Here is a 19,952-nt window from a genome sequence, read left to right on the forward strand (position 1 = left end):
TTTGTTTGTAATAACAGCCTTGGGAGGAGAAACTCAGTGACTTTGTTAAAGATTTCCCTTTGGCTTAAAATCTTGCAGAACAATAAAATGAGGATGATTGTTTACAAATATAGCAGCTACAAGGCCTAATTAAGACCCTGTCTAGATTGACAAAGTAATCAAACAATAAAACAAATGGCTTTAGAGCAGTTGATTCCATTATTTTAGTTTTAAAAATTATTAAAGCCAGATTAGGAATTGAGCAGTTTGATGTTCAGTTGTTTTTACTTCAGGACTGTAATTATTGACTGTTTAACTAGACTGTAGGTTATTTGAGAGTATAGACTCTGCATTTATCTGTTATTAGCTTTGGACACAGCAAATTTCTAAGATGGACATTAGTAAAAAGGTTAAGTAATATTTATTAAATGTCTAGTATGGGACAAGCATCATGCTAGATAGACGCTTTCCAATCATGATCCTCTTTATTCTTTTCAGCATCCCTGGAACAATGATCTTATTATATCCATTGTTACTGATAAGACATCCATACCTCCAACAGTAGCTTAATGGCTAATACATAGTGATCACTTGATTCTTGTTGAGGAAAGAGAGTGTATCTGTCAAGTTTTTTTGTTTTTGTTTCTGTTTTTTTTTTTTTTTACTTTCAAGTATTAGAAACTAACTCTTGCTAATTTAGGCATAAAAGGAGTAGATTAAAGGATATTATGTAGCACACAGAATCTTCTTCCTCAGAACAGAGTAGAAAGCCATGTTTGAAATTCTCACAGTGAGGAACAACATCCAGAATCATGCCCAAATGTGGTCCTGTGAAGATGCACTGCCACCCTTGCTAGGCACACATAAACTGTTGTGCTTCTGATGCCAACAATGCAGGGCATTGAATCTGTGGCTGGAATTGCTACCATGGGAAATTGGATGGAGCTACTGCCACCACTGCCACATTGCCAAGATAGATTAGGCCCTGCATTTTACGTCATCAGCTCTGAAGTCAGAGTCTCATATGATGTGTTGATTGGAGGAGTCTACAGATAGGTATCCAGACCAGGGAACTGTTGAGAGTAAAAGTGTCATTATTAAGAATTATTCCAGGATAACAAGCCTAAACCAGGACATATGGTCACCCTCTGCTATTTCTGTTCCCTAGCTGCAAACAGATCTTGGAAAGCACATTTTCTGCTTCTGTGATAGAATGTGGTCTTGGCTTCTCATTAATACTTGCAGTATACGGAATTACCCAGACGTGAGAAGAGGTTATAAGGCTGGGTGTTTCAACGAGAAGGACACATGTCTACTACTGAATGAAGAATTGAATTTTAAATAACCTGTCTAAAGTAAAAGAATTAATGAGGTCTGCCTAAGTCTAAATTGCTTTTCCCTTCATGATACCATGCTTTGCATACTGTAGTATGGCAATTTTCAGCTAAGGATATACATCAGAGCTGTTTACAACAGTGTTGTAAACATACAGATTGTGGGGCCCCACTCTAACCTACTGAACCCAAATCTCTGGGAATGGTGCTGTGGCCAGGATCTGTAATTCTTAACATCATTCAGATAGAAAAACAATCAATTTGAAATGTGATCCTTGTAGAAATAAGGCCACGTGTACCTTTTGGATGCTATTAGTTTCCCGAACTGTTCCACTGTGTAAGATAGATTTGATTTGATGTGTTCCATAGAATTTATGGAAGCTAGAAGGAAACCTGTTTAATGTGGTAGTAGGCAATAGAATAACATTAAAATTTTAAAAATTGGTCGCCCTTAATTTCCTTTATGATTATCATTAACTGGCAATTTCCAGGAATCACTCAGGCACTTAGAAATGTCCATGATACTATACATATGAAGGTTGAGAAACAAACAATTCTAGATAACATATCTTTTTCTTTCTTGCTGATAACAGTGAATGCTCAAGATAATGAAGACCATGTCCCACTCCATTTCTGTTCTCGATTTGGACACCATGATATAGTTAAGTATCTGCTGCAAAGTGATTTGGAAGTTCAACCTCATGTTGTTAATATCTATGGAGATACCCCCTTACACCTGTGAGTATTATGTAGCATTCCATAGGTTCTCCAGGTATACTGCATGTACTTGCTTACAATATTAACAAGATATTTTCTTCAAATCTAGGGCATGCTACAATGGCAAATTTGAAGTTGCCAAGGAAATCATCCAAATATCAGGAACAGAAAGTCTGACTAAGGAAAACATCTTCAGTGAAACAGCTTTTCATAGGTAAAAGAATATTTAAGTGCAATAGCCACTAAACTTAGCTGACACTCTAAAGCACCTGAAGTTGTGGGTATAAAGCAAGAACAAATAGTGGCAGATGTTGCAATCAGAGAGCAATAGCAGAGGTAGGGCAGAGGACAAAGAGCCAGAGCTAGATGCATGGAAGAAAAGGTGGAGGCAGATGCTGCAGTCAGTACAACAGATGGGGCCGGAGCCAGATGCTGTGTTCCTGGCAGCAGCCACAAAGACAGGGACTGATGTTGCCAAGGCAACAGGCATATCAACATCTGTAAGCATATTGCTTCTATTCCTCTTCACTCCATGGAAAGCTGCCAAAAAGGGATGTGCCCATAATCCTCCTCCAACAAGAATCTCATTACCAGAATTCATCAGCATTAAATGTGACACTTGTTTCCTTTCCACTTAAACCTTATGTGAAAATGTGTCTACCTATCTAAAACATCCATCTGTCAGCCTGTAAAAGCCTAGTCAGGGTGGCCACTCAGATACCTAAGAAAGCATCAGCTCTTCTCTAGGAATTCGTGAGAGCCCTTTACGGTGTGCTCTAGAAAAGCACACTGAAGGAACAGCTGGGATTAGAAAAGTTGCAACCAAAATAAAAAGAGAGAAAAAGAAAAGAAAGAAAAGGTTGCTAATAAGTCAGAGCTATAGTTCCCTAAAATGCCCAAAAGGAAGGTGGATGTTTTATAAAATCTAAGGCTTTCATTTTTAATGAGTAACTATTTTGCTAAAACAGTAAAAGCATAGTAATTTATATTTAGTAGATCTTGAAAATTAGTCCATTTGCCTACACATTACATATGTTTCCATTAGTTTGTAACCTCTAAAATTGTATTTGAGGCTAATTTGTTGTTCACATAATGTTTTTGTATTGCATTGATGAATAATAAAAATGAGGAGATTCTCTTTATTTCTTACCAAACTAAAATTAAGCTTGTGCTTCTGCATCAGGCATCAACCTGTCAAATTTCACATACATTTCCAGATTTTTCTTGTCAACCAAAGACTCAGTCAAACAAGGGTGAAGTAAAACCACCATTTATGGAATAGTGACCATATGCCAGATGATTCGCATCCATTATCTCATGTAATCCTTACAACATTTTATGAAGTTGGATTTATTATCTCTCTTTTACAGAAGAGAAAACTGAGGCTCAGAAAAGCTAAGTAACTTGCCAAAGTTTCTTATGGATAGAAAATAATGTTGCAAATGGCTACCTAATTCTAAATCCTGTGCTTTTTACATTTCTTCATGTTCTAGTACCAAAATATTTTGTCTGTTTTCTACACACTCAGTAACAGAACAGATGCAAGAACTCCTTAGATCATACCTTCAGTCAAATGGATCAGTGGAATCTGTCCCTGCAGGGGACAGTTGGCAGAACTGATATGTACTGGTTGCTGGTATTCTCTTTCCGTTTAGGTCATGCCTGTTACAGCTGACACCTCAGGCTAGTTTTCAAATCATTTTGCTACTTCATGCACTAAAATTAAAACCAACTGTAATCAGAGGGTGACTGTCACCTCCAAAAGATTGTTTATATGAGAAGATTTGTAAAGTGAGTTGAAAGTATATACCCAATTGTTTTATTTCGTGTAAGCCTGTGGCTACTCAGAGTAACAGATTAATGTTTTTGTTATATTCATTTTAAGCAAATATTTATAAAAGAAACTCCTTTTACGTGAGGAATTCACTCTGAATATGAATTTTTTATGTACATAGTATTTTGCACAGAGTAAGCACTCAGTACATTTCTGTTGTGGTTTTCATATGTATACACACACATATACAAATATATATGTATATATATGTACACGCATACACGTGTGTGCATGTATATATGTGCATGTATGTATGCATGTATATATGTGTGTACACATGCACATATATACACATATATGTGCATATATTCAGAACTCATTATCTGTAAGTAGTTTCTTTGAAAAAGAGCAATGAATCAATATTAAATGTGTACTGTTATGGATCGTATTTATAATGCAAATAGTTAATGATGATATGATATATTGCACTGAGATGGTAGTTTTTTTATTCACTCAATAATTCAAGAAAAAGTCATTAAAGACCTACCTTGTATTGGTGCTACTGGGGACATTAAGATGACAGGATTCTTTCAGTCCTTAAAGGAGCCCTATTGTAAGGTATCAAAGTAAACAGAGGTGTATCCAATACCATATTACAGTGTGATAAGCAGTGTAAGATTGAAATTACAAAGAAGCAGAGGGGTCAGCAATGAATTCTGCCTTTGGTTCATTAGAATACTTCATATTCAGTTTAATTGGATAAAGAATGAATGATATTTCATGAAAGAAAAATGACTTAGGCAAGCTTAGGCAAGGCCATCCCAGGAAGAGGAAATGCTAAGACCCAGTGAACTCCCTCTTTTTTTCTAGAACCAAGTCCCTATGCCCTTCCTTTAGCCATTATTTAGTTGGGGCTTTGCCCAGTGCTAGTTCTTTCCAGTCAGTTATTACATACCTCATATCTCTTCATGACTTGAATGTAGAGTATTGTTAGTTAACAAGTGATAGCAAAAGCAGAGGTATGAGGGAAACTACAGGAAAAGAACATTTATGAGAATTACTAATCAAAAAGTTAAATCCAGTAGTCATTACTAGGCATGCTAATTTCATACAAAATCTTTTTCTCAATGCATCTTAGCTTTCCCAGTAACCAGTAGAAATCAGAATTTCAGATAAGTATTTCAACAAATCTGTGTGCAAAATTTGTCTATAAAAATCTTATTTCCTTGCATCTTGAAATTTATTAATTTTTCCACAAATACTTTCTCACACCTGGAAAGAACTGATAATGAAAGGTCCTCTACAATTTGTAATGTGATTCTATAAGCATTAATTCACTTGAAATTTCAGCAACAATTTGGCACATTGATAGGGTATTGTCTATTATAGTTTTATAGATGGTAAAACTAAAACTCACAGAGGTCAAAGAACTTGTCCAAGATCCTCTGGTTTGTGTGTGGCAGAATTCTGGATTTTGAGTCCACAGCTAATTCTCCTTCAGTAAAATGAAAGCTTTGAGATCTTATCCTCTGGTCAAGAAGTGTTTGGAGAGACAGTAGATGGTTTTACCAGGAATCATTTCAGACTGTGACCTGGATTTGACTAAAACTCTCAGAACCCTCCTGAATTTCTAATTTGATTGTCCTGCAGAATATTTCCGAGGTCCTGCAGCTAAAAATGCAGGGAACTCTTATATCTTATCTCCTTTTATGAAAAATGACTAATATCCCTGAAAGCAGTTGATAAAAAACACTGGAAATTTTATACAGCTCTTTTCTTAAAGTTCCAGATGTGAGAATCTTTAGGATTTTCTCACCATATATCCACATTTTAATTTAGCCTTTGTAGATGGTGCTTGTTTATTTTTCATCACCTCCTCCCTTCTCTGTTTCTTTGGCTCTCTTATATACATGTGTGCATCTAGAATGCCTGGCATAATCAGGGCTGCATTTGTTTGTTAGGACTGTCATAAAGAAATACCACAGACTGGGTGGCTTAAGCAACAGAAATTTATCATCTCACAATTCTGGAGGCTAGAAGTCCAAGATCAAGGTGTCAACAGGTTTGGCTTCTCCTGCAGCCTCTTCCCTTGGCTTGCAGATGGCTGCCTTCTTGCTGTGTCTTCACATGGCTGCCTCTCTGTCAATGTCACCTGTGTCTTAATCCCAGATTCTTCTTATAAGGATGTCAGTCATATTGAATTGGGGCCCACCCTAATGACCCCATTTTAAATTAAATACCTATTTATTTATTTATTAATTATTATTATTATTTTTCTACTTTAAGTTTTAGGGTACATGTGCACAACGGGCAGGTTTGTTACATATGTATACATGTGCCATGTTGCTGAGCTGCACCCATTAACTCCTCATTTATCATTACGTATATCTCCTAATGCTATCCCTCCCCCCTCCCCCCACCCCACAACAGTCTCCGGTGTGTGATGCTCCCCTTCGTGTGTCCATGTGTTCTCATTGTTCAATTCCCACCTATGAGTGAGAACATGCAGTGTTTGGTTTTTTATCCTTGTGATACTTTGCTGAGAATGATGGTTTCCAGCTTCATCCATGTCCCTACAAAGGACATGAACTCATCATTTTTTATGGCTGCATAGTATTCCATGGTGTATATGTGCCACGTTTTCTTAATCTAGTCTATCATTGTTGGACATTTGGGTTGGTTCCAAGTCTTTGCTATTGTGAATAGTGCCGCAATAAACATACGTGTGCATGTGTCTTTATAGCAGCATGATTTATAATCCTCTGGGTATATACCCAGTAATGGGATGGCTGGGTCAAATGGTATTGCTAATTCTAGATCCCTGAGGAATTACCACGCCGACTTCCACAATGGTTGAACTAGTTTACAGTCCCACCAACAGTGTAAAAGTGTTCCTATTTCTCCACATCCTCTCCAGCACCTGTTGTTTCCTGACATTTTAATGATTGCCATTCTAACTGGTGTGAGATGGTATCTCATTGTGGTTTTGATTTGCATCTCTCTGATGGCCAGTGATGGTGAGCATTTTTTCATGTGTTTTTTGGCTGCATAAATGTCTTCTTTTGAGAAGTGTCTGTTCATATCCTTCACCCACTTTTTGATGGGGTTGTTTTTTTCTTGTAAATTTGTATGAGTTCATTGTAGATTCTGGATATTAGCCCTTTGTCAGATGAGTAGGTTGCAAAAATTTTCTCCCATTCTATAGGTTGCCTGTTCACTCTGATGGTGGTTTCTTTTGCTGTGCAGAAGTTCTTTAGTTTAATTAGATCCCATTTGTCAATTTTGGCTTTTGTTGTCATTGCTTTTGGTGTTTTAGACATGAAGTCCTTGCCCATGCCTATGTCCTGAATGGTATTGCCTAGGTTTTCTTCTAGGGTTTTTATGGTTTTAGGTCTAACATGTAAGTCTTTAATCCATCTTGAATTAATTTTTGTATAAGGTGTAAGGAAGGGATCCAGTTTCACCTTTCTACATGTGGCTAACCAGTTTTCCCAGCACCATTTATTAAATAGGGAATCCTTTCCCCATTGCTTGTTTTTGTCAGGTTTGTCAAAGATCAGATAGTTGTAGATAAGCAGCATTATTTCTGAGGGCTCTGTTCTGTTCCATTGGTCTATATCTCTGTTTTGGTAGCAGTACCATGCTGTTTTGGTTACTGTAGCCTTGTAGTATAGTTTGAAGTCAGGTAGCATGATGCCTCCAACTTTGTTCTTTTTGCTTAGGATTGACTTGGCAATGCGGGCTCTTTCTTGGTTCCATAAGAACTTTAAAGTAGTTTTTTCCAATTCTGTGAAGAAAGTCATTGGTAGCTTGATGGAGATACTATTGAATCTATAAATTACCTTGGGCAGTATGGCCATTTTCACGACATTGATTCTTCCTACCCATGAGCATGGAATATTCTTCCATTTCTTTGTATCCTCTTTTATTTTACTGAGCAGTGGTTTGTAGTTCTCCTTGAAGAGGTCCTTCACATCCCTTGTAAGTTGGATTCCTAGGTATTTTATTCTCTGAAGCATTTGTGAATGGGAGTTCACTCATGATTTGGCTCTCTGTTTGTCTGTTATTGGTGTATAAGAATGCTTGTGATTTTTGCACATTGATTTTGTATCCTGAGACTTTGCTGAAGTTGCTTATCAGCTTAAGGAGATTTTGGGCTGAGACTATGGCGTTTTCTAGATATACAATCATGTCATCTGCAAACAGGGACCATTTGACTTCCTCTTTTCCTAATTGAATGCCCTTTATTTCCTTCTCCTGCCTGATTGCCCTGGCCAGAACTTCCAACGCTATGTTGAATAGGAGTGGTGAGAGAGGGCATCCCTGTCTTGTGCTGGTTTTCAAAGGGAATGCTTCCAGTTTTTGCCCATTCAGTATGATATTGGCTGTGGGTTTGTCATGCATAGCTCTTATTATTTTGAGATACATCCCATCAATACCTAATTTATTGAAAGTTTTTAGCATGAAAGCTAAAAACTTTTCTGCATCTATTGAGATAATCATGTGTTTTTTGTCTTTGGTTCTGTTTATATGCTGGATTACATTTATTGATTTTCATGGGTTGCATCCCAGGGATGAAGCCCACTTGATCATGGTGGATAAGCTTTTTAATGTGTTGCTGGATTCGGTTTGCCAGTATTTTATTGAGGATTTTTGCATCAATGTTCATCAAGGATATTCGTCTAAAATTCTCTTTTTTTGTTGTGTCTCTGCCAGCCTTTGGTATCAGGATGATGCCGGCCTCATAAAATGAGTTAGGGAGGATTCCCTCTTTTTCTATTGATTGGAATAGTTTCAGAAGGAATGGTACCAGCTCCTCCTTGTACCTCTGGTAGAATTCGGCTGTGAATCCATCTGGTCCTGGACTTTTTTTGGTTGGTAAGCTATTGATTATTGCCTCAATTTCAGAGCCTGTTATTTGTCTATTCAGGGATTCAACTTCTTCCTGGTTTAGTCTTGGGAGAGTGTATGTGTCGAGGAATTTATCCATTTCTTCTAGATTTTCTAGTTTATTTGCATAGAGGTGTTTATAGTATTCTCTGATGGTAGTTTGTATTTCTGTGGGATCGGTGGTGATATCCCCTGTGTCATTTTTTATTGCGTCTATTTGATTCTTCCCTCTTTCCTTCTTTATTAGTCTTGCTAGCGGTCTATCAATTTTGTTGATCTTTTCAAAAAACCAGCTCCTGGATTCATTGATTTTTTGAAGGGTTTTTTGTGTCTCCATTTCCTGCAGTTCTGCTCTGATCTTAGTTATTTCTTGCCTTCTGCTAGCTTTTGAATGTGTTTGCTCTTGCTTCTCTAGTTCTTTTAATTGTGATGTTAGGGTGTCAATTTTAGATCTTTCCTGCTTTCTCTTGTGGGCATTCGGTGCTATAAATTTCCCTCTACACACTGCTTTGAATGTGTCCCAGAGATTCTGGTATGTTGTGTCTTTGTTCTCGTTGGTTTCAAAGAACATCTTTATGTCTGCCTTCATTTCGTTATTTACCCAGTAGTCATTCAGGAGCAGGTTGTTCAGTTTCCATGTAGTTGAGCAGTTTTGTGTGAGTTACTTAATCCTGAGTTCTAGTTTGCACTGTGGTCTGAAAGTCAGTTTGTTATAATTTCTGTTCTTTTACATTTGCTGAGGACTGCTTTACTTCCAACTATGTGGTTGATTTTAGAATAGGTGTGGTGTGGTGCTGAAAAGAATGTATATTCTGTTGATTTGGGGTGGAGAGTTCTGTAGATGTCTATTAGGTCCACTTGGTGCAGAGCTGAGTTCAATTCCTGGATATCCTTGTTAACTTTCTGTCTCGTTGATCTGTCTAATGTTGAGTGGGGTGTTAAAGTCTCCCATTATTATTGTATGGGAGTCTAAGTCTCTTTGTAGGTCACTAAGGACTTGCTTTATGAATCTGGGTGCTCCTGTACTGGGTGCATATATATTTAGGATAGTTAGTTCTTCTTGTTGAATTGATCCCTTTACCATTATGTAATGGCCTTCTTTGTCTCTTTTGATCTTTGTTGGTTTAAAGTCTGTTTTATCCAAGAGTAGGATTGCAACCCCTGCCTTTTTTTGTTTTTCATTTGCTTGGTAGATCTTCCTCCATCCCTTTATTTTGAGCCTATGTGTGTCTCTGCACGTGAGATGGGTTTCCTGAATACAGCACACTGATGTGTCTTGACTCTTTATCCATTTTGCCAGTCTGTGCCTTTTAATTGGAGCATTTAGCCCATTTACATTTAAGGTTAGTATTGTTATGTGTGAACTTGATCCTGTCATTATGATGTTAGCTGGTTATTTTGCTCCTTAGTTGATGCAGTTTCTTCCTAGCCTTGATGGTCTTTACAATTTGGCATGTTTTTGCAGTGGCTGGTACCAGTTGTTCCTTTCCATGTTTAGTGCTTCCTTCAGGAGCTCTTTTAGGGCAGGCCTGGTGGTGACAAAATCTCTCAGTATTTGCTTGTCTGTAAAGTATTTTATTTCTCCTTCACTTATGAAGCTTAGTTTGGCTGGATATGAAATTCTGGGTTGAAAATTCTTTTCTTTAAGAATGTTGAATATTGGCCCCCACTCTCTTCTGGCTTGTAGAGTTTCTGCCGAGAGATCTGCTGTTAGTCTGATGGGCTTCCCTTTGTGGGTAACCCAACCTTTCTCTCTGGCTGCCCTTAACATTTTTTCCTTTATTTCAACTTTGGTGAATCTGACAATTATGTGTCTTGGAGTTGCTCTTCTCGGGGAGTATCTTTGTGGCGTTCTCTGTATTTCCTGAATTTGAATGTTGGCCTGCCTTGCTAGATTGGGGAAGTTCTCCTGGATAATATCCTGCAGAGTGTTTTCCAACTTGGTTCCATTCTCCCTGTCACTTTCAGGTACACCAATGAGACGTAGATTTGGTCTTTTCACATAGTCCCATATTTCTTGGAGGCTTTGTTCATTTCTTTTTATTCTGTTTTCTCTAAACTTCTCTTCACACTTCATTTCATTGATTTTGTCTTCCATCACTGATACCCTTTCTTCCAGTTGATCGCATCGGTTACTGAGGCTTGTGCATTCGTCACGTAGTTTTCGTGCCATGGTTTTCAGCTCCATCAGGTCCTTTAAGGACTTCTCTGCATTGATTATTCTAGTTATCCATTTGTCTAATTTTTTTTTCAAAGTTTTTAACTTCTTTGTCATTGGTTTGAACTTCCTCCTTTAGCTGGGAGTAGTTTGATCTTCTGAAGCCTTCCCCTCTCAACTTGTCAAAGTCATTTTCCGTCCAGCTTTGTTCCATTGCTGGTGAGGAGCTGTGTTCCTTTGGAGGAGGAGAGGTGCTCTGCTTTTTAGAGTTTCTGGTTGTTCTGCTCTGCTTTTTCCCCATCTTTGTGGTTTTATCTACCTTTGGTCTTTGATGATGGTGATGTACAGATGGGTTTCTGGTGTGGATGTCCTTTCTGTTTGTTAGTTTTCCTTCTAACAGTCAGGACCCTCAGCTGCAGGTCTGTTGGAGTTTACTGGAGGTCCACTCCAGACCCTGTTTGCCTGGGTATCAGCAGTGGTGGCTGCAGAACAGTGGATATTGGTGAACCGCAAATGCTGCTGCCTGATCGTTCCTCTGGAAGTTTTGTCTCAGAGGAGTACCCAGCCGTGTGAGGTGTCAGTCTGCCCCTACTGGGGGATGCCTCCCAGTTAGGCTACTCGGGGGTCAGGGACCCACTTGAGGAGGCAGTCTGCCCATTCTCAGATCTCAAGCTGCATGCTGGGAGAACCACTACTCTCTTCAAAGCTGTCAGACAGGGACATTTAAGTCTACAGAGGTTATTGCTGTCTTTTGTTTGTCTGTGCCGTGCCCCCAGAGGTGGAGCCTACAGAGGCAGGCAGGCCTCCTTGAGCTGTGGTCGGCTCCACCCAGTTCGAGCTTCCCAGAAGCTTTGTTTACCTACTCAAGCCTGGGCAATGGCAGGCGTCCCTCCCCCAGCCTCGCTGCCACCTTGTAGTTTGATCTCAGACTGCTGTGCTAGCAATGAGCGAGGCTCCGTGGGCATAGGACCCTCCAAGCCAGGTGCGGGATGTAATCTCCTGGTGTGCCGTTTGTTAAGCCTGTTGGAAAAGCGCAGTATTAGGGTGGGAGTGACCCAATTTTCCAGGTGCTGTCTGTCACCCCTTTCTTTGACTAGGAAAGGGAATTCCCTGACCCTTTGCGCTTCCCAGGTGAGGCAATGCCTCGCCCTACTTCGGCTCAGGCATGGTGCGCTTCACCCACTGTCCCGCACTCCCCAGTGAGATGAACCCAGTACCTCAGTTGGAAATGCAGAAATCACCCATCTTCTGCATTGCTCATGCTGGGAGCTGTAGACTGGAGCTGTTCCTATTCGGCCATCTTGGCTCCACCCCTCTTAAGTACCTCTTTAAAGATACAATCCCTAAATACAGTCTCATTGTCAGGTTATGGGGGTTATAACTTCAGCATATGATTTTTCGAGGTGTAGGGGAGAGGGCACAATTTAGTTCATAACAAGGACCTTCTATCTTTCTTGTTTTATGGTTTTTTTTTTCAGTGCTTGTACCTATGGCAAGAGCATTGACCTAGTCAAATTTCTTCTTGATCAGAATGTCATAAACATCAACCACCAAGGAAGGGATGGGCACACTGGTAAGACTGTGGTGAAAACACCACTAGTTCTATATGCTTATCAATGATTAAGAATAATGGTATGCAAAGGGATGTGGGGGCATTGGGAGTGCTCAACTCCAGTGGGAAAGGGTATTTTATCAACTGCCAGCATTTAGAATTGATAATGACTGATAATAATAAAAAGCAGACTGACTTTTTGGTCAATTTTATTATTGTGTTAAATTATTTGCAGTCAGTGCATCCTCTTATGGCCAGCACTAGGGACAGACTGACCACACTGCTCTGCCCTTGATTTGGTGATCAAAAAAAAAAAAAAAAACCTGTGATGGGTCTTTGTTCCTTTATTTGTGTAAAGATGCTAACATTTGTTCTTGGTAATTACAGTGGATGTAGAAATACTATAATTGTACTGAGGAAAAGACAGTCTCTGTAGAAGGTTGAGTACAATATAATACCCGTTTTGCTTAAAGTGATGTCTCGTTTGGTCAATAATAAAATTAGTTCTTTATCAAAGAAATCAATCCTTACTTCATACCTTTGGAAATAATGCTATTATGTGGTGATGACTGTCTTTTGAAAATTGGGGAGCAGTTTTTCTTTTTTCTCCTTTTGTTCTTTCAATTCTTTTCTATTACAGGATTACACTCTGCTTGCTACCACGGTCACATTCGCCTGGTTCAGTTCTTACTGGATAATGGAGCTGATATGAATCTAGTGGCTTGTGATCCCAGCAGGTCTAGTGGTGAAAAAGATGAGCAGACATGTTTGATGTGGGCTTATGAAAAAGGTATATTTTTAATCATCGTGTCTCTATAGTGATACATTGAACTGTGTGCATAGATTATGTCAGTGCATCAATAATTACTTTGCTTGCATGACTTGAACACTCTCATTTCTTCTGTAGATTTTACTTGAGTTTCTGGGGCCTTGGATCAAAGAGTCCAATACACTGTAATCAGAGAAGGCAACTCCTAGGCTGCAGATGAACCAAAGGCATTCTCAGTATTGGCACTTTGAAAAGGGAATTGTCACATTTCTAAGTACCAGAGAAACAAAATTGTGATAGATAATGATAGTAGAGTGGGCTCAGAGCTAGTCTTTATCTCTTATATGGGGGAATTTTCATGTGGTTTCAAATTTATAAGAAAGAAGTACAAGGGGGGGGGAAAGAAATATTTGTCAGATCTAACCCTGCTGACAATGCTTGTGCTAGAAAATGTGAGGGACCCAAGTGTAAACTTATTTGAATATAAACTTATTTGCTTAAGTATAAAATTATCTGAGCTCAAAGTGGTGAAAGCTTGAGATCTGGTATGAAAACAACTGGGTTTAAATCAAGCCATATTATTTGATCTTGTGCAAATTATTTAATATTTCTGAACTCCATTTTCTTCATCTGAAAAATAAGGATTATAAATTCTACTTTATAAGATTGTAAAGATTAAATGAGATAATATACGCAAATTGCTTAGAACAGTGGCTGACACAAAATAAATGCTAAGTAATTGCTATTTTAGTGTGATAACAGTGGGACTACTAGTAGCTCAGAAATAAAGATGATTGATAACAAATTCATCATTTCAAGGGAGAAGTAACTGAAGACATTCAGATGGTGAAAAGCATCTTTGTAATTGTTATTGAGATATATTTGCCTCATAAGCAAGCTCTCCATATACACATACACTCCTAAGGAGTTTAGATTTTTAGGTGATATGAAAGAATATATATTGTCTTTGAAATTATAGGTTATAATTGAATACTATAAAAAAATGCCAGATTTTAAAGTCACATTTTAATTGTTATTTTAACTTTTGATGACTGCATTGTCTTTTTACAATATTAAAAATGTGTAAAGAAACATAGTTATCTTTTTAAATACTCAAATCCTAAAAGATTGTACTGAAAATAACAATTATTAAGCTATAAGATTTCCTAGCCTACCAAGTTGATTCGAAAGGTTTTCTGACTAAAGTGGGATATGGGCCAGGCGCGGTGGCTCATGCCTGTAATCCCAACACTTTGGGAGGCCATGGTGGGCAGATCACAAGGTCAGGAGTTCAAGACCAGCCTGGCCAACATGGTGAAACCCTGTCTCTACTAAAAATACAAAAAGTAGCTGGGTGTGGTGGCAGATGCCTGTAATCTCAGCTACTCGGGAGGCTGAGGCAGGAGAATCATTTGAACCCGGGAGGCAGAGGTTGTGGTGAGCTGAGATCATGCCATTGCACTCCAGCCTGGCAACAGGGCGATACTCCGTCTCAAAAATAAATAAATAAATAAATAAATAAATGAATAAATAAATAAAGTGGGATATGAAAGTCCATCAATGAAAGGAGAAATGTAGTCTGATGGATGAAAATGTAGAGCTGTTGTAAGCATGCAGTAAGCGTATAGACAAGGAGAAGGAAAAATGTACAGGTCTGAAGACTGCTAGTAGAAAAATGATGTGGGAGTTACTTTAATAAAGACAAGTGAACAGACATAGAATATTAAGTAATAAGTTAGATATAGGCTTGCTGTATTTTGGTGGGCTTATTTTGCTTTTTATTTGAATATTGTATAAATACAAACATATATATACCTTTGCACATATTATAACCATATAGGTCAATGAATTTCACAGATTGAACTCACCCAGCACCCAAATGAAGAAACTGAACATAACAAGTCCCCTAAAAGCCCCATTGACATTCTCTTCCAATCACTCCCCTAAAGAGGTTACCACTGCCTTCTTGTGGCATAGTCGTTTTGCCACTTTCTGCACTTTATATAAATGAAATGCTATGCTATGTACTTCTTTGTGTCTGGCTTTTTTCAGCCAACAATATGTGAGATTCATTCACATTGTTGCAGGCAGTTGTAGATTGTTCATTCTTATCATTGTATAGTATAATGTTTTGTGACTATATCACAATTTTTTAATTCATTCTACTGTTCACGAGCATTTGGATAATTTTCAATTTGGGGCTATTAAGAGTACTGTGTTATGAACATTCATATATGTAGATATATGTCTTTCGTTGAATATATGGTTGCATTTCTATTAGATATAAAGGTGTTCTACTTTGTATTAAAAAATCTAGGTAGCTCTATATCTTAATATCAATTGGAAAATCTTAAATTTTCTGAAATCTCAGGAGGCCTTACTAAATTCTACCTCCTCAACACATTGCATTTATTCAAGTGATTCTCAGACAGTGACTCTCAAGAAATGTTAGCTTCAGTGTAAGACTGTTTACAAAGCATTAGTCTTCCGGAAGGCAGCTCAGAAATTGCTGCTGCAGCTATCTCTTCACAGAGGTTGGCTTTGTTTGTTTTTAGCTGATTGAGAGTGATAGTTGAAAACTGGCTTTACTTTTATTTTTCATGGAATTCCACACTTCTATGAAACAGTGAATCATTGTGTAAGCTTCTAAGATTTCCTATGAAATGTCAACAAAGATCCTTTAACTTAGAGGACTTGCCCACTGGCCTCTTCAACATATGCTGTATTTGTCACTGTATTTGTTCAAACTAATGTGCCAGGCATCAGTGTTGCATTCCATTATTACTATGAATTTTAACAAATTGAATGTTGTTGCTCAGAAGACAGATGGATGTTTTGCAAATGTTCTAGGGCAAAGCAAGTCAAATGACAAATGGAATTGTTGCTATTTTTCTCTTCCTAAAAAAATGTTGCATTGTTTTCATGTGTTCAGGGAGAACTGAAGTGGCCTTGTTAATATTGTCAGCAGTGCACCTGTCCCCGTATCCTTTGAAACAAGAAGTGCTTCCCTGCCTCCTTGGAGAGGGAATCACTATATTAATTGATATAGCATACTAAGGAGTTCCCTGAGCAATTTGGAGGTAAAGCTGAGGAAGGACTAAAACTCTACTTGATGTAAGAATGGCCCCATCATGGTTTACCATGTACCCTATCCTATCCCGGGAGAGATAAACAAGAAGGGAGCTTCACAATCAAGGGTGTCTATTTGAATAGGTCTACTTTTGGATACGCCCAATTTAAATAGTTCATCCTAGTCTAATCTCTTAACAGAAAACCATGCAGTCTTTCTCAGCAGCACCCGTCTCTATCTGAATGGCTCTAAGCCAAATTTTTCACCTGACCCAAGCTAAATTTTAGCTGACCTTCTTTCTACTATTCTGATATGGCACATTGAAGTGTGATTTGGAGTTCTGGAAGAGTTATATATTCTCTTTTGGAATGCTTTCAGAAAAGGGTTTACTCACTATGGTTCCCTGTGGAATCAGATATAAAGAATGCTTTCTATTTGCATAGCCCTTCTAACCTAAATATATCAAAATCAATCTTGAAAATAATTTTCCTGGTGACCGTCATCCTACACAGAAGCCACTGTTTAAGTTTCAATATTTATCTGCCAGAGTGCTTAGAGCTCCAATTTTACAATATTTAGAGTGTCTCCCCTCCCCATCTCTCCCCTTCTTCGTTTCTACTATTCCAATCTGAAAGTGTAGCGATCGCTGTCTCACTCACTTGGATTTGTTCTGCCCTTTTCCTGTGGTACAAAGGACCAGCATGAATCAATTTAAATTGGTCAGAAGAAATAGCCAGCAGCCTGCTTATGTTCAAATCCTCTGCCCTAATCACCAGTATGGAAAACCCATTGAAAAGACCTACACATAATCTTACATCCATTGCATTAAAGATGAAACTGCCGAATTGAAAAGATCTCAGCCAATTAGAATTGAACACATAGCTCAATAGTGTGTCTGGCAGTTAGATTTGAAAAGGCTGCCTTTGACAAAGAAAAGCACTCCTATATGTCAGGCTGTTTAGGGTCAGAAAATAACCTAAACTAGAAACAGAACTAAAAACTTCTTATTCGTTTCAGTACTGACACCAGTTAAAGTAATATACAGAGGCTCCTATCACAATATCAAATTACCCAGAATACAATATTTGTATACAGCAAAGGCGCCTAATTCACAGTGACAGGAAGCTGGAGGTGGAGAATTAGTGAATAAGGGAGCAAAAACAATAAAAATCAAGGCTCCTGTACCATGATATATACTTTGTTCATTCCTTTTGACAAGTGTAGTATTGTGTGAATTATTTGTAGTAAATGTACTATAGTGTATTCTCTGAAAGTAATGAAATCTTACAGTCATGAGTTTCTACAGTTTTTAGACAGTAAAAAAATAACTGAGAAATGAGGGTGGGAGAGGAGTACAAGTAAGAAGAGATAGATTCATTAAATTATTTGATAAATTTTCACCAATAGATTATGAACTCTCAGGCTTTTTCTATATTGAATTCCTATCTATTTCAAGTTTAGTTACTTAGTTTAGTGATACTGGTTTAGTGTGCAAGAGTGGATTGGGGTAAGGAATCCATGTGTGAATTTTTGTTTTCGTATACTGGTTATCTTCTTACATGTTTAGCTGCTCTCTTTTAAAAAAAATAAGTAAGTAAAATAATCTCAACTGTCATTAGAATGGAAAAACCTTCATCATTGCAGGGAGATAACTCACAAAAATGTTTTTGAAATATAATAACGTAAGAATTCACATACTTAAAATGGATAGTAAAAGAGAACTTACATTCATTGAGTATCTTTTACAGATGCATATATATGTATATATAATTTAATCAAAATAACCCTTTAAATTTTTATTATCTTTGTTTTATAGATAAAGAGATTAAGACTTAGGGCTGCTAAGTCACACTTGCCCAATCCATGCAGTTGTTGAGTAGAGAGGCAGTACCAAATAGGAGGTCTGTCTTGTTGTAGAATTCAAGCTCTTACCAACACACTGTAAAATTAGATCTAAGCCAAAACTCCATCCTTATTATTTAATGACCTTGTGCAAGGCCTTTAACCTCTTTCAGCATTTACCCTCAAATTCAAAATGAGGATATTAATAACCACTTTACAGAATTCTGACGAGGTTTAAGGATAAGATTTAAGTGCTTGGCACATAACAGAGTCTCAATAAGAATGGCGGCAGCTCTTATTGGTAAGTGCAGAGCAGAGATTCAATCGAATCCACATAACTCCCAAATTTCATGGTCTTTCCTAATTTATAACATGTACAGTTAGAAATTTTAATATATTAGGATAATAGGAATCCGCTATAAACCCTCTGATGAAGGGCTTATATTCCTGCCAAACGCCTCTGGACAATCCCTGCATATATAAAAGTGTGTGTTGTTTTGTTATATTGGTATTTCTTATTTATGGCTCAAGTTATACCATTAATTTTAAGCCTCAGAACTGAAGCAAAATAAAGGAGATTTTGAAAATAACTAATCAAAATATTATGAAAGTAATCCAAAGACATTATTCTAATGTGCGTAGTTGCATGCAAATACATAAAACAATATTTTAAAACTATAGCACAAATTTGCAAGCCTCTTTCCTACAGCAGGGTTTTTCTCCACAGTCAAGGAGGAATGTCAAAGAATTTGTGATCATATTTTCAAACCACCATACCAACTGACTGCTTGATTTCTTTGCTTGGATATCTGAGGACCCTGCAAAACTCAACAAGTCCAAAATTGAACTTAACATTTTTTTTTGTCCTCATGATTCTCTTTCTTGTACTATGTATCCTTTATTCAATCAGCCATTTAATGGTATTACCATCCACTTTGTCACTTAGGTCAGAAATCTTGAATGATGCTTGATTACTTTTTCCTCCTCAACTTCTCCTCCCACCACACATCCTATCGATTCAATCAAAAAGTCTTCTTTATTTTGCTTAATAAGTACATTTTTAATCCATCCTTTTTTCTTTTTTTTTACTATCACTATTTTAATTCAGATCCTCATAATACTTCTTCTAATCCATTTTAATAACCTCATAACTGCCCTTTTTTGTCCTCAGCATTTTGAAATTTTCCAACTGTAGACTGAGAGATATATTCAAGGTGCAAATAAGGCCGTATTATTCCCCAGTCTAAAACCTTTCTCTGATATACTGTCACCCATAAGAAAAAGTCTCAGCTTGATATCATAACACACAGAGACTTTATTGTCTTGTGTACTTCTTGCCTCTTGAACCTCATATCCTCTTACTCCTGTTACATGGGCAACCCCACATGCCACAACCATCATCATATTCGCTAGATCACCAACATTCACTCAGTGTTCACTCTTTGCCATGCTTGTTCTAAATACTTCACATATATTAACTCATCAAATCCACATAATAACCCTGTGAGGCCGTGTCACTTCACATAATAGGGATAGTATAAAACTGCTCATTCATCCTTACATATGTCATGTTATTTCATGTTTCCAAGACTTTTACATGGCAGTCCAATCTGCCTTTATGTCCTCTCTGTCCTCTCCATGTCACCCCATTCTTTAAATTTCTGATTGCCACTTGGTCTTCAAGACTTAGTTTATGGAAGTCTCCTAGTCTTATTGAATATTTCTAGAAAGTCTTCCCTGACATTCCAGCCTAGCACATACATCCTTTCTTTATATTTTATTTTGTTATGTGCACATCTCTTTCTCTGTGTTTACCACTTTATACTGAAACACTCTCTTCTCTTACCAAATTGTAAACTTCTTGAGA

The 19,952-nt window shown here is 37.7% G+C and overlaps 2 protein-coding genes across 3 annotated transcripts in view, besides 2 other annotated features; both read left to right on the plus strand.

The window, feature by feature from the left end:
• Positions 1 to 19,952, plus strand: part of FPGT-TNNI3K (FPGT-TNNI3K readthrough) — a 346,187-nt gene that overhangs the window by 142,694 nt on the left and 183,541 nt on the right. For both annotated transcript variants that reach the window (NM_001112808.3, NM_001199327.2), the window contains exons 10-13: positions 1,907 to 2,051; positions 2,140 to 2,244; positions 12,331 to 12,425; positions 13,045 to 13,194. In NM_001112808.3, the coding sequence (NP_001106279.3) occupies positions 1,907 to 2,051; positions 2,140 to 2,244; positions 12,331 to 12,425; positions 13,045 to 13,194 (495 nt within the window). The remainder of the gene's footprint in view (positions 1 to 1,906; positions 2,052 to 2,139; positions 2,245 to 12,330; positions 12,426 to 13,044; positions 13,195 to 19,952) is intronic.
• The window catches only part of TNNI3K (TNNI3 interacting kinase), a 309,042-nt gene that overhangs the window by 105,549 nt on the left and 183,541 nt on the right, over positions 1 to 19,952 (plus strand). Inside the window, exons 8-11 of the mRNA NM_015978.3 lie at positions 1,907 to 2,051; positions 2,140 to 2,244; positions 12,331 to 12,425; positions 13,045 to 13,194. Coding sequence (NP_057062.1) covers positions 1,907 to 2,051; positions 2,140 to 2,244; positions 12,331 to 12,425; positions 13,045 to 13,194 — 495 coding nt within the window. The remainder of the gene's footprint in view (positions 1 to 1,906; positions 2,052 to 2,139; positions 2,245 to 12,330; positions 12,426 to 13,044; positions 13,195 to 19,952) is intronic.
• Positions 11,287 to 11,787: an enhancer, noted in NCBI's record as "H3K4me1 hESC enhancer chr1:74817906-74818406 (GRCh37/hg19 assembly coordinates)". NCBI's record gives its function as "activates a minimal SCP1, AML or CMV promoter by ChIP-STARR-seq in primed H9 embryonic stem cells {active_cell/tissue: H9 hESC(primed)}" and the evidence as "EXISTENCE:reporter gene assay evidence [ECO:0000049][PMID:30033119]".
• Positions 11,788 to 12,288: an enhancer, noted in NCBI's record as "H3K4me1 hESC enhancer chr1:74818407-74818907 (GRCh37/hg19 assembly coordinates)". NCBI's record gives its function as "activates a minimal SCP1, AML or CMV promoter by ChIP-STARR-seq in primed H9 embryonic stem cells {active_cell/tissue: H9 hESC(primed)}" and the evidence as "EXISTENCE:reporter gene assay evidence [ECO:0000049][PMID:30033119]".

This window comes from Homo sapiens, chromosome 1 (genome assembly GCF_000001405.40).
Source record: "Homo sapiens chromosome 1, GRCh38.p14 Primary Assembly".
Taxonomy (NCBI): Eukaryota; Metazoa; Chordata; class Mammalia; order Primates; family Hominidae; genus Homo; species Homo sapiens.